This window comes from Homo sapiens, chromosome 19 (assembly GCF_000001405.40).
Source record: "Homo sapiens chromosome 19, GRCh38.p14 Primary Assembly".
Lineage (NCBI taxonomy): Eukaryota > Metazoa > Chordata > Mammalia > Primates > Hominidae > Homo > Homo sapiens.
In genome coordinates, this window is record NC_000019.10 from 47,937,205 (window position 1) to 47,950,866 (window position 13,662).

Genomic DNA, 13,662 nt, shown 5'->3' on the forward strand with positions numbered 1-13,662 from the left:
ACCTGAGCAGTATACACTACACCCTACTTGTTGTATTTTATCCCTCGCCCCCGCCAACTCGTCCCCCTAAGTCCCCAAAGTCCATTGTATCATTCTTACGCCTTTGCGTCCTCATAGCTTAGCTCCCACATATCAGTGAGAACATACGATGTTTGGTTTTCCATTCCTGAGTTACTTCAGTTAGAATAACAGTCTCCGGTCTCATCCAGGTCACGGCAAATGCTGTTAATTCATACAAAGTTGATATTTTTGAAAGCATAAATAACATGGGAAGACCACTAGCTAGATTAATAAAGAAAAAAAGACAAGATCCAAATAAACACAATCAGAAATGACAAAGGTGACATTACCACTGACCCACAGATATACAAGAAACCCTGAGACTATTCCACATGCCTCTATGCACACAAACTAGAAAACTAGAAGAAATAGAGAAATTCCTGGAAACATAAAACCTCTCAAGATTGAACCAGGAAGAAATGGAAACCCTGAACAAACCAACGATGAGTTCCAAAATTGAGTTAGTCATACAAAACCTACCAACCAGCACAAAAAACCTTAGACTAGACGGATTCACAGTCGAATCCTACCAGATGTGTAAAGAAAAGGCGGCACCAATCCTACTGAAATTATTCCACACAATTGAGGAGGAGCAACTGCTCTCTAACTCATTCTATGAGGTCAGAGTCATTCTGATACCGAAACCTGGCAGAGACACAACGAAAAAAGGAAAATAGGTAAAGTAATACATATGTTAATGATCTTGATTTAGCCATTCTACGGTATATACATATTTCAAAACAATATGTACATGATAAATATGTACAATTTGTCAATTAAAAATATATAAAAGGAAGAGGAAAAAATTCAAATGGCGTAGAATTTGAAAGGAGAAGATACAGAACAAACTCCAGTGTCTTATTATTCAACTATATATACACACGTTCAATGGACCGGGAGCAGTGGCTCAAGCCTGTAATCACAGCACTTTGGGAGGTCAAGGCGGGCAGATCACCTGAGGTCGGGAGTTCGAGACCAGCCTGACCAACAGAGAGAAACCCCAGCTCTACTAAAAATACAAAATTAGCCGGGCATGGTGACGCATGCCTGTAATCCCAGCTACTCGGGAGGGTGAGGCAGGAGAATCGCTTGAACTCAAGAGGTGGAGGTTGTGGTGAGCCGAGATGGCACCATTGCACTCCAGCCTGGGCAACAAGAGCGAAACTCAGTCTCAAAAAAAAAAAAAAAAAGAAAAAGGATTTAATGAATGAATGATGAGACCGTTGGTGACATCTCCCACCTTCTCCCTCTCACTCCACTGCAGCCACACGGGGCTCCTCACTGTTCCCGTAGCAGCAGGCATGTGCCCCCACAGGGCCTCTGTACTGGCTGTTCCCACTGCCCGAACACCCTCATGCACCATCTGCACTGTCCAATACGGCCGCCTCTGGCCACACATGGCTACTGAGCAGTTGAACATGGCTGGTCCAAACCAAGATTTCCAAGACGTCGTGTGGTAAAAAAAACAACATAAAATTTTGCAAAAATGTTTCTATTGATTATGTTAAAATTATGATGTTTTAGGTATATTAGGTTAAATCAGCTATTTTATAAAAATGAATCTCGCCTGTTTGTTTTTGCTTTTTTTTTTTTTTTTTTTTTTTTTTTGAGATGGAGTCTCGCTCTGTCGCCCAGGCTAGAGTACAATGGCGTGGTCTCAGCTCACTGCATCACTGCAACCTCTACCTCCCAGGTTCAAGCGATTCTCCTACCTCACCCTCCCAAGTGGGTGGGATTACAGGCGTGTGCCACCACACCCAGCTAATTTTTGTATTTTTGTAGAGACAGGGTTTCACCATGTTGGCCAGGCTGGTCTCGAACTGCTGACCTCGTGATCTACCTGCCTCGGCCTCCCAAAGTCCTGGGATTACAGGTGTGGGCCACTGCGCCGGCCATGTTTCTCGACTTCTGCTGGCAAGCATGTTCCAGTATTTGCATGGCTCCTAGCCCTCATCTCCATTTCTCTGCACAGATGTTATCTTCCCCATGAGGTCTGCCTTATACATGAGGCCTGTATTATAAAGTGCAACTGCCAATTCGCCAACCCCGTTGTTTCTTCTCTCCAGAACACTAGGCACCATCTGATCTCCTATGCCTTTTCCTTATTGTCAGATACTGAACTCTCAGATACAGTTCCCCTTCATCCCTCCAGGGGGCGCCATGGAACGCAGGGCCCTCACTGGCCCTGGGGACTGGGTGACGTCAGGGGTGAGCCTCTGGTGATTGGCTCCCTCACCCTGCGTAAGATCAAAGGGCCTAAAGGTCAGCCCCGACACCCGGAGCTATTGTGGCTCCGGCCGGTTGCGCGGGCCCTCGGACCCTCAGAGAGGCGAGGGTTCGAGGGCACGAGTTCGAGGCCAACCTGGTCCACATGGGTTGAAAAAAAAATTTTTTTTATCGTTCCCAATATAACAACAAAACATAAAGGGAGGACGCCTTGATAGGAAGAAATGACATCTTCCTAAGTGTTTTTAAATTACTTCAATGTATCTTTCTTTTTTTTTTTTTTTTTTTGGGAGACCGAGGCTTGCTCTGTTGCCCAGGCTGGAGTGCAGTGGTGTGATCTTGGCTCACTGCAACCTCTGCCTCGTCGGTTCAAGGGAGTCTCCTATCTCAGCCTCCTGAGTAGCTGGGATTACAGTCGCCTGCCAAGAGATGGGGTTTCGCCATGTTGACCAGGCTGGTCTTGAACACCTGGCCTCAAATGATCCACTCGCCTTGGTCTCCCAAAGTGGTAGGATGACAGGCGTGAGCCACCGCGCCCAGCCTCTTCTATTCTTTTAGAGACAGCGTCTCACTCTGTTGCCCAGGCTGGAGTGCATTGATGTGATGTGTGATCATAGCTCATTGCAGCCCTGACCATCCGAGCTCAAGCAATCCTTCTGCCTCAGCCTCCTGAGTAGCTGGGGCCGCAGATGTGCACCACTGCACCTGGCTAATTTTTAACATTTTTTGTGGAGCCAGAGTCTGTATAAAATAAAGTGTAAATAGTACCATAAATAAAGAATACATAGTACCATTTTATAGTAGTATAAAACGGACATTAGAAACTCTGGACTTAAAGTTTAAAAAAATACACAAAAGTAGTTCTCAAGTTCTAGAGACTTGGAGAATCCAGGAATCAACAATGTCGTGGAACTCCTACAGCCTTTCATAAAGAATGGCCCTCGAGGAAAGTGGAATTGTCAGTGGGCATTGTGTTCGTGCCTCAGCTAAACACGGCAGGAATTTATTTATAACCTAGTGTAACATCCTCGAGGCACTGTTCAATTAGTCAAGCAATTGTAAAATTCTCCCAGTCTTAGAAAAGATACAGGTGTGTGTCCCTCTGCTGTGGCTGTGCACTGACGCTTCAGTAAAAGTTGCCGTCTAAAACCACCGGCCTGCCCTTGAATTGTTTTGTTTTGTTTTGTTTTGTTTTGTTTTGTTTTGTTTTGTTTTTTTGATTCGCAGCCTCACTCTATCACCCAGGCTGGAGTGCAGTGACACGATCTCTGTTCACTGCAACCTCCGCCTCCCGGGTTCAAGCGATTCCCCTGCCTCAGCCTCCTGAACAGCTGGGATTACAGGCACCCGTCCCCATGCCCGGGTAATTTTTGTATATTTAGTAGAGATGGGGTTTCACCATGTTGGCCAGGCTGGTCTCGAACTCCTTACCTCAAGTGATCCATCCGCCTCAGCCTCCCAAAGTGCTGGGATTACAGGCGTGAGCCACTGCGCCCGGCTTCTTGAATTAGTTTCTAGGAGAAGCCAAGAACCCCCCCGGGCTAAGCCTCAATTTTGGGGCTCGCCTGTGCTGCATCAGCTTCACACCTAGAGAAGAGAGTGAAAGAGAAGGGAGAGCCGTCCTTTTGGGCTGCCTTGAAATAAAGGTTGACCCATGGGTTCATGTATTGTCATTCATTCTCATTTTCTCTTCCTCTCTTTCTCTCTCTCCCCTGCCCCTTAAGTTAGCTTTTCTACACCCTACCTGGATAAGGATAAGAAATAGAAGGAGGGGACACTTTAGGATGCTACAAAATAAAATACAACAACAACAACAATAACAGCAGCAGCAACAACAACAACAGCAACAAAAGGGGAAGAAACAAATCTGGCCACTGCACATTCCTCCTTGGCAACAAAAAGCCGCGGATGCAAAAAGCTGCCCTTCACTGCATAGACAGAACAGGGCGCGCTCGAGCTATGAATCTCGGAAATTACTCAAACCATCAGCCTCTGCAAGAAGCAAAGTGGACGGCCGGGCGCGGTGGCTCACTCCTGGAATCCCAGCACTTTGGGAGCCCGAGGTGGGCGGATCACGAGGTCAGGAGATCGAGACTGTTCTGGCTAAACCAGTGAAACCCCCTCTCTACTAAAAAAATAACAAAAGCGAAGTGCATCTCCCATAAACGAGGTACTGCAGGAAGAAAGCAGAAAATGAGACCCGAGTACACACATGCACGCGGGCGCGCGCACACACACACCAGAAGAAATGAACCAAGAGGAAAGGAAACATTTTCAAATAAGCATTTGGAGATGGGAAAAACACCTTGAAACAGAAATTCATAAAGCACAGAATTTTTTTTTAAGTTAAAAAAGGAACAATAATAGACAGAAAATGAACGAAAAATTAAATGTCATATCAGAAGTGAAGATAAATTAAAAGTGGTCAAAGGAGAAGAGATCTAAATGCAAACTTAAGAAGGGGCAATTTTTTTTTTTTTTTTTTTTTTTGAGACGCAGCCTCACTCTGTCGCCCGGGCTGGAGTGCAGTGGCGTGATCTTGGCTCACTGAAACCTCTGCCTCCTGGATTCAAGCGATTCTCCTGCCTCAGCCTCCCAAGTGGCTGGGATTACAGGCATGAGCCACCATGCCCGGCCTAGAGTCATCATGGAAATTAAACAACCTGCTTCCAAATGACTTTTGGGTAAAGACTGAATTTAAGGCAGAAATAAAAAAATTATTTGAAACTAATGAAAACAAACATACAACATCCCAGAATCTCTGGGACACAGCTAGAACAGTGCTCAAAGGAAGTTTCTAGTGCTATATGGCTACACTAAGAAGCTAGAAAGATCTCAAATGAACCGCCTAACATCACACCTAGAGGAATTAGAAAAACAAGAGCAAATCAACCCCAAAGCTAGCAGAAGAAAAAAAAAAACCAACATCGGAGCTGACCTGAATGAAATGGAGACGTAAAAAACCATACAAAAGATCAATGAAACCCAAAGTTGATTTTTTAAAAAAATTATTTATTTATTATTTATTCCATAAATTATTGGGGTACAGGTGGTGTGTGGTTACATAAGCTCTTTAGTGGTGATTTGTGATTTTGGTGCACCCATCACCTGAGCAGTATACACTACACCCTACTTGTTGTATTTTATCCCTCGCCCCCGCCAACTCGTCCCCCTAAGTCCCCAAAGTCCATTGTATCATTCTTACGCCTTTGCGTCCTCATAGCTTAGCTCCCACATATCAGTGAGAACATACGATGTTTGGTTTTCCATTCCTGAGTTACTTCAGTTAGAATAACAGTCTCCGGTCTCATCCAGGTCACGGCAAATGCTGTTAATTCATACAAAGTTGATATTTTTGAAAGCATAAATAACATGGGAAGACCACTAGCTAGATTAATAAAGAAAAAAAGACAAGATCCAAATAAACACAATCAGAAATGACAAAGGTGACATTACCACTGACCCACAGATATACAAGAAACCCTGAGACTATTCCACATGCCTCTATGCACACAAACTAGAAAACTAGAAGAAATAGAGAAATTCCTGGAAACATAAAACCTCTCAAGATTGAACCAGGAAGAAATGGAAACCCTGAACAAACCAACGATGAGTTCCAAAATTGAGTTAGTCATACAAAACCTACCAACCAGCACAAAAAACCTTAGACTAGACGGATTCACAGTCGAATCCTACCAGATGTGTAAAGAAAAGGCGGCACCAATCCTACTGAAATTATTCCACACAATTGAGGAGGAGCAACTGCTCTCTAACTCATTCTATGAGGTCAGAGTCATTCTGATACCGAAACCTGGCAGAGACACAACGAAAAAAGGAAAATAGGTAAAGTAATACATATGTTAATGATCTTGATTTAGCCATTCTACGGTATATACATATTTCAAAACAATATGTACATGATAAATATGTACAATTTGTCAATTAAAAATATATAAAAGGAATAGGAAAAAATTCAAATGGCACAGAATTTGAAAGGAGAAGATACAGAACAAACTCCGGTGTCTTCTTTATTCAACTATATATACACACATTCAATGGACTGGGAGCAGTGGCTCAAGCCTGTAATCACAGCACTTTGGGAGGTCAAGGCGGGCAGATCACCTGAGGTCGGGAGTTCGAGACCAGCCTGACCAACAGGGAGAAACCCCAGCTCTACTAAAAATACAAAATTAGCCGGGCATGGTGGCGCATGCCTGTAATCCCAGCTACTCGGAAGGCTGAGGCAGGAGAATCGCTTGAACTCAAGAGGTGGAGGTTGTGGTGAGCCGAGATGGCACCATTGCACTCCAGCCTGGGCAACAAGAGCGAAACTCAGTCTCAAAAAAAGAAAAAAAAGGATTTAATGAATGAATGATGAGACTGTTGGTTACATCTCCCACCTTCTCCCTCTCACTCCACTGCAGCCACACGGGGCTCCTCACTGTTCCCGTAGCAGCAGGCATGTGCCCCCACTGGGCCTCTGTACTGGCTGTTCCCACTGCCCGAACACCCTCATGCACCATCTGCACTGTCCAATACGGCCGCCTCTGGCCACACATGGCTACTGAGCAGTTGAACATGGCTGGTCCAAACCAACATTTCCAAGACGTCGTATGGTAAAAAATAACATAAAATCTTGCAAAAATGTTTCTATTGATTATGTTAAAATTATGATGTTTTAGGTATATTAGGTTAAATCAGCTATTTTATCCAAATGAATCTCGCCTGTTTGTTTTTGCTTTTTTTTTTTTTTTTTTTTTTTGAGATGGAGGCTCGCTCTGTCGCCCAGGCTAGAGTACAATGGCGTGGTCTCGGCTCACTGCATCACTGCAACCTCTACCTCCCAGGTTCAAGCGATTCTCCTACCTCACCCTCCCAAGTGGCTGGGATTACAGGCGTGTGCCACCACACCCAGCTAATTTTTGTATTTTTAGTAGAGACAGGGTTTCACCATGTTGGCCAGGCTGGTCTCGAACTGCTGACCTCGTGATCTACCTGCCTCGGCCTCCCAAAGTCCTGGGATTACAGGTGTGGGCCACTGCGCCAGCCATGTTTCTCGACTTCTGCTGGCAAGCATGTTCCAGTATTTGCATGGCTCCTAGCCCTCATCTCCATTTCTCTGCACAGATGTTACCTTCCCCATGAGGTCTGCCTTATACATGAGGCCTGTATTATAAACTGCAACTCCGCATTCCCCAACCCCGTTGTTTCTTCTCTCCAGAACACTAGGCACCATCTGATCTCCTATGCCTTTTCCTTATTGTCAGATACTGAACTCTCAGATACAGTTCCCCTTCCTCCCTCCAGGGGGCGCCATGGAACGCAGGGCCCTCACTGGCCCTGGGGACTGGGTGACGACAGGGGGGAGCCTCTGGTGATTGGCTCCCTCACCCTGCGTAAGATCAAAGGGACTAAAGGACAGCCCCGACACCCGGAGCCATTGTGGCTCAGGCAGGTTGCGCCTGCCCTCGGGCCCTCACGGAGGCGGGGGTTCCAGGGCACGAGTTCGAGGCCAGCCTGGTCCACATGGGTCGGAAAAAAGGACTTTTTTTTATCGTTCCCAATATAACGACAAAACATAAAGGGAGGACGCCTTGATAGGAAGAAATGACATCTTCCTAAGTGTTTTTAAATTACTTCCATGTGTCTTTTTTTTTTTTTTTTTTGGGAGACCGAGCCTTGCTCTGTTGCCCAGGCTGGAGTGCAGTGGTGTGATCTTCGCTCACTGCAACCTCCGCCTCGTCGGTTCAAGGGAGTCTCCTATCTAAGCCTCCTGAGTAGCTGGGATTACAGTCGCCTGCCAAGAGATGGGGTTTCGCCATGTTGACCAGGCTGGTCTTGAACACCTGGCCTCAAATGATCCACTCGCCTTGGTCTCCCAAAGTGGTAGGATGACAGGCGTGAGCCACCGCGCCCAGCCTCTTCTATTCTTTTAGAGACAGGGTCTCACTGTGTTGCCCAGGCTGGAGTGCATTGATGTGATGTGTGATCATAGCTCATTGCAGCCCTGACCATCCGAGCTCAAGCAATCCTTCTGCCTCAGCCTCCTGAGTAGCTGGGGCCGCAGATGTGCACCACTGCACCTGGCTAATTTTTAACATTTTTTGTGGAGCCAGAGTCTGTATAAAATAAAGTGTAAATAGTACCATAAATAAAGAATACATAGTACCATTTTATAGTAGTATAAAACGGACATTAGAAACTCTGGACTTAAAGTTTAAAAAAATACACAAAAGTAGTTCTCAAGTTCTAGAGACTTGGAGAATCCAGGAATCAACAATGTCGTGGAACTCCTACAGCCTTTCATAAAGAATGGCCCTCGAGGAAAGTGGAATTGTCAGTGGGCATTGTGTTCGTGCCTCAGCTAAACACGACAGGAATTTATTTATAACCTAGTGTAACATCCTCGAGGCACTGTTCAATTAGTCAAGCAATTGTAAAATTCTCCCAGTCTTAGAAAAGATACAGGTGTGTGTCCCTCTGCTGTGGCTGTGCACTGACGCTTCAGTAAAAGTTGCCGTCTAAAACCACCGGCCTGCCCTTGAATTGTTTTGTTTTGTTTTGTTTTGTTTTTTTGATTCGCAGCCTCACTCTATCACCCAGGCTGGAGTGCAGTGACACGATCTCTGTTCACTGCAACCTCCGCCTCCCGGGTTCAAGCGATTCCCCTGCCTCAGCCTCCTGAACAGCTGGGATTACAGGCACCCGTCCCCATGCCCGGGTAATTTTTGTATATTTAGTAGAGATGGGGTTTCACCATGTTGGCCAGGCTGGTCTCGAACTCCTTACCTCAAGTGATCCATCCGCCTCAGCCTCCCAAAGTGCTGGGATTACAGGCGTGAGCCACTGCGCCCGGCTTCTTGAATTAGTTTCTAGGAGAAGCCAAGAACCCCCCCGGGCTAAGCCTCAATTTTGGGGCTCGCCTGTGCTGCATCAGCTTCACACCTAGAGAAGAGAGTGAAAGAGAAGGGAGAGCCGTCCTTTTGGGCTGCCTTGAAATAAAGGTTGACCCATGGGTTCATGTATTGTCATTCATTCTCATTTTCTCTTCCTCTCTTTCTCTCTCTCCCCTGCCCCTTAAGTTAGCTTTTCTACACCCTACCTGGATAAGGATAAGAAATAGAAGGAGGGGACACTTTAGGATGCTACAAAATAAAATACAACAACAACAATAACAGCAGCAGCAACAACAACAACAGCAACAAAAGGGGAAGAAACAAATCTGGCCACTGCACATTCCTCCTTGCCAACAAAAAGCCGCGGATGCAAAAAGCTGCCCTTCACTGCATAGACAGAACAGGGCGCGCTCGAGCTATGAATCTCGGAAATTACTCAAACCATCAGCCTCTGCAAGAAGCAAAGTGGACGGCCGGGCGCGGTGGCTCACTCCTGGAATCCCAGCACTTTGGGAGCCCGAGGTGGGCGGATCACGAGGTCAGGAGATCGAGACTGTTCTGGCTAAACCAGTGAAACCCCCTCTCTACTAAAAAAATAACAAAAGCGAAGTGCATCTCCCATAAACGAGGTACTGCAGGAAGAAAGCAGAAAATGAGACCCGAGTACACACATGCACGCGGGCGTGCGCACACACACACCAGAAGAAATGAACCAAGAGGAAAGGAAATATTTTCAAGTAAGCATTTGGAGATGGGAAAAACACCTTGAAACAGAAATTCATAAAGTACACACATGTTTTTTTTTTAAGTTAAAAGAGGAACAATAATAAACAGGCAGAAAATGAATAAAAAATAAAATGTCATATCAGAAGTGAAGATAAATTAAAAGTGGTCAAAGGAGAAGAGATCTAAATGCAAACTTAAGAAGGGGCAATTTTTTTTTTTTTTTTTTTGAGACGCAGCCTCACTCTGTCGCCCGGGCTGGAGTGCAGTGGCGTGATCTTGGCTCACTGAAACCTCTGCCTCCTGGATTCAAGCGATTCTCCTGCCTCAGCCTCCCAAGTGGCTGGGATTACAGGCATGAGCCACCATGCCCGGCCTAGAGTCATCATGGAAATTAAACAACCTGCTTCCAAATGACTTTTGGGTAAAGACTGAAATTAAGGCAGAAATAAAAAAATTATTTGAAACTAATGAAAACAAACATACAACATCCCAGAATCTCTGGGACACAGCTAGAACAGTGCTCAGAGGAAGTTTCTAGTGCTATATGGCTACATTAAGAAGCTAGAAAGATCTCAAATGAACCGCCTAACATCACACCTAGAGGAATTAGAAAAACAAGAGCAAATCAACCCCAAAGCTAGCAGAAGAAAAAAAAAAAAAACAAAATCAGAGCTGAGCTGAATGAAATTGAGATGTAAAATACCATACAAAAGATCAATGAAACCCAAAGTTGATTTTTTAAAAAAATTATTTATTTATTATTTATTCCATAAATTATTGGGGTACAGGTGGTATGTGGTTACATAAGCTCTTTAGTGGTGATTTGTGATTTTGGTGCACCCATCACCTGAGCAGTATACACTACCCCCTATTTGTTGTCTTTTATCCCTCGCCCTCGCCAACTCGTCCCCCTAAGTCCCCAAAGTCCATTGTATCATTCTTATGCCTTTGTGTCCTCATAGCTTAGGTCCCACATATCAGTGAGAACATACGATGTTTGGTTTTCCATTCCTGAGTTACTTCACTTAGAATAATACTCTCCGGTCTCATCCAGGTCACTGCAAATGCTGTTAATTCATACAAAGTTGATATTTTTGGAAGCATAAATAACATGGAAAGACCACTAGCTAGATTAATAAAGAAAAAAAGACAAGATCCAAATAAACACAATCAGAAATGACAGAGGTGACATTACCACTGACCCACAGACATACAAGAAACCCTGAGACTATTCCACATGCCTCTATGCACAAAAGCTAGAAAACTAGAAGAAATAGAGAAATTCCTGGAAACATAAAACCTCTCAAGATTGAACCAGGAAGAAATGGAAACCCTGAACAAACCAACGATGAGTTCCAAAATTGAGTTAGTCATACAAGACCTACCAACCAGCGCAAAAAACCTTAGACTAGACGGATTCACAGTCGAATTCTACCAGATGTGTAAAGAAAAGCCGGCACCAATCCTACTGAAATTATTCCACACAATTGAGGAGGAGCAACTGCTCTCTAACTCATTCTATGAGGTCAGAGTCATTCTGATACCGAAACCTGGCAGAGACACAACGAAAAAAGGAAAATAGGTAAAGTAATACATATGTTAATGATCTTGATTTAGCCATTCTACGGTATATACATATTTCAAAACAATATGTACATGATAAATATGTACAATTTGTCAATTAAAAATATATAAAAGGAAGAGGAAAAAATTCAAATGGCGTAGAATTTGAAAGGAGAAGATACAGAACAAACTCCAGTGTCTTCTTTATTCAACTATATATACACACGTTCAATGGACCGGGAGCAGTGGCTCAAGCCTGTAATCACAGCACTTTGGGAGGTCAAGGCGGGCAGATCACCTGAGGTCGGGAGTTCGAGACCAGCCTGACCAACAGAGAGAAACCCCAGGTCTACTAAAAATACAAAATTAGCCGGGCATGGTGACGCATGCCTGTAATCCCAGCTACTCGGGAGGGTGAGGCAGGAGAATCGCTTGAACTCAAGAGGTGGAGGTTGTGGTGAGCCGAGATGGCACCATTGCACTCCAGCCTGGGCAACAAGAGCGAAACTCAGTCTCAAAAAAAAAAAAAAAAAAAAAAAAAAGGATTTAATGAATGAATGATGAGACCGTTGGTGACATCTCCCACCTTCTCCCTCTCACTCCACTGCAGCCACACGGGGCTCCTCACTGTTCCCGTAGCAGCAGGCATGTGCCCCCACAGGGCCTCTGTACTGGCTGTTCCCACTGCCCGAACACCCTCATGCACCATCTGCACTGTCCAATACGGCCGCCTCTGGCCACACATGGCTACTGAGCAGTTGAACATGGCTGGTCCAAACCAAGATTTCCAAGACGTCGTGTGGTAAAAAAAACAACATAAAGTTTTGCAAAAATGTTTCTATTGATTATGTTAAAATTATGATGTTTTAGGTATATTAGGTTAAATCAGCTATTTTATCAAAATGAATCTCGCCTGTTTGTTTTTGCTTTTTTTTTTTTTTTTTTTTTTTTTGAGATGGAGTCTCGCTCTGTCGCCCAGGCTAGAGTACAATGGCGTGGTCTCAGCTCACTGCATCACTGCAACCTCTACCTCCCAGGTTCAAGCGATTCTCCTACCTCACCCTCCCAAGTGGCTGGGATTACAGGCGTGTGCCACCACACCCAGCTAATTTTTGTATTTTTGTAGAGACAGGGTTTCACCACGTTGGCCAGGCTGGTCTCGAACTGCTGACCTCGTGATCTACCTGCCTCGGCCTCCCAAAGTCCTGGGATTACAGGTGTGGGCCACTGCGCCGGCCATGTTTCTCGACTTCTGCTGGCAAGCATGTTCCAGTATTTGCATGGCTCCTAGCCCTCATCTCCATTTCTCTGCACAGATGTTATCTTCCCCATGAGGTCTGCCTTATACATGAGGCGTGTATTATAAAGTGCAACTGCCAATTCGCCAACCCCGTTGTTTCTTCTCTCCAGAACACTAGGCACCATCTGATCTCCTATGCCTTTTCCTTATTGTCAGATACTGAACTCTCAGATACAGTTCCCCTTCCTCCCTCCAGGGGGCGCCATGGAACGCAGGGCCCTCACTGGCCCTGGGGACTGGGTGACGTCAGGGGTGAGCCTCTGGTGATTGGCTCCCTCACCCTGCGTAAGATCAAAGGGCCTAAAGGTCAGCCCCGACACCCGGAGCCATTGTGGCTCCGGCCGGTTGCGCGGGCCCTCGGACCCTCAGAGAGGCGAGGGTTCGAGGGCACGAGTTCGAGGCCAACCTGGTCCACATGGGTTGAAAAAAAAATTTTTTTATCGTTCCCAATATAACAACAAAACATAAAGGGAGGACGTCTTGATAGGAAGAAATGACATCTTCCTAAGTGTTTTTAAATTACTTCAATGTATCTTTCTTTTTTTTTTTTTTTTGGGAGACCGAGGCTTGCTCTGTTGCCCAGGCTGGAGTGCAGTGGTGTGATCTTGGCTCACTGCAACCTCTGCCTCGTCGGTTCAAGGGAGTCTCCTATCTCAGCCTCCTGAGTAGCTGGGATTACAGTCGCCTGCCAAGAGATGGGGTTTCGCCATGTTGACCAGGCTGGTCTTGAACACCTGGCCTCAAATGATCCACTCGCCTTGGTCTCCCAAAGTGCTAGGATGACAGGCGTGAGCCACCGCGCCCAGCCTCTTCTATTCTTTTAGAGACAGGGTCTCACTCTGTTGCCCAGGCTGGAGTGCATTGATGTGATGTGTGATCATAGCTCATTGC

The 13,662-nt window shown here is 45.4% G+C and overlaps 3 non-coding genes across 3 annotated transcripts; all 3 read left to right on the forward strand.

Moving 5' to 3' along the window:
• Positions 1-2,336: 2,336 nt before the first annotated feature.
• SNAR-C4 (small NF90 (ILF3) associated RNA C4) lies at positions 2,337-2,456 on the forward strand. The gene has a single exon (NR_024218.1). It is a non-coding gene; the product is annotated as a small NF90 (ILF3) associated RNA C4 (small nuclear RNA).
• A 5,261-nt stretch (positions 2,457-7,717) lies between these two features.
• SNAR-A13 (small NF90 (ILF3) associated RNA A13) lies at positions 7,718-7,839 on the forward strand. Its single transcript, NR_024216.1, has one exon. It is a non-coding gene; the product is annotated as a small NF90 (ILF3) associated RNA A13 (small nuclear RNA).
• Positions 7,840-13,091: 5,252 nt separating this feature from the next.
• SNAR-C3 (small NF90 (ILF3) associated RNA C3) lies at positions 13,092-13,210 on the forward strand. Its single transcript, NR_024221.1, has one exon. It is a non-coding gene; the product is annotated as a small NF90 (ILF3) associated RNA C3 (small nuclear RNA).
• Positions 13,211-13,662: the final 452 nt, after the last annotated feature.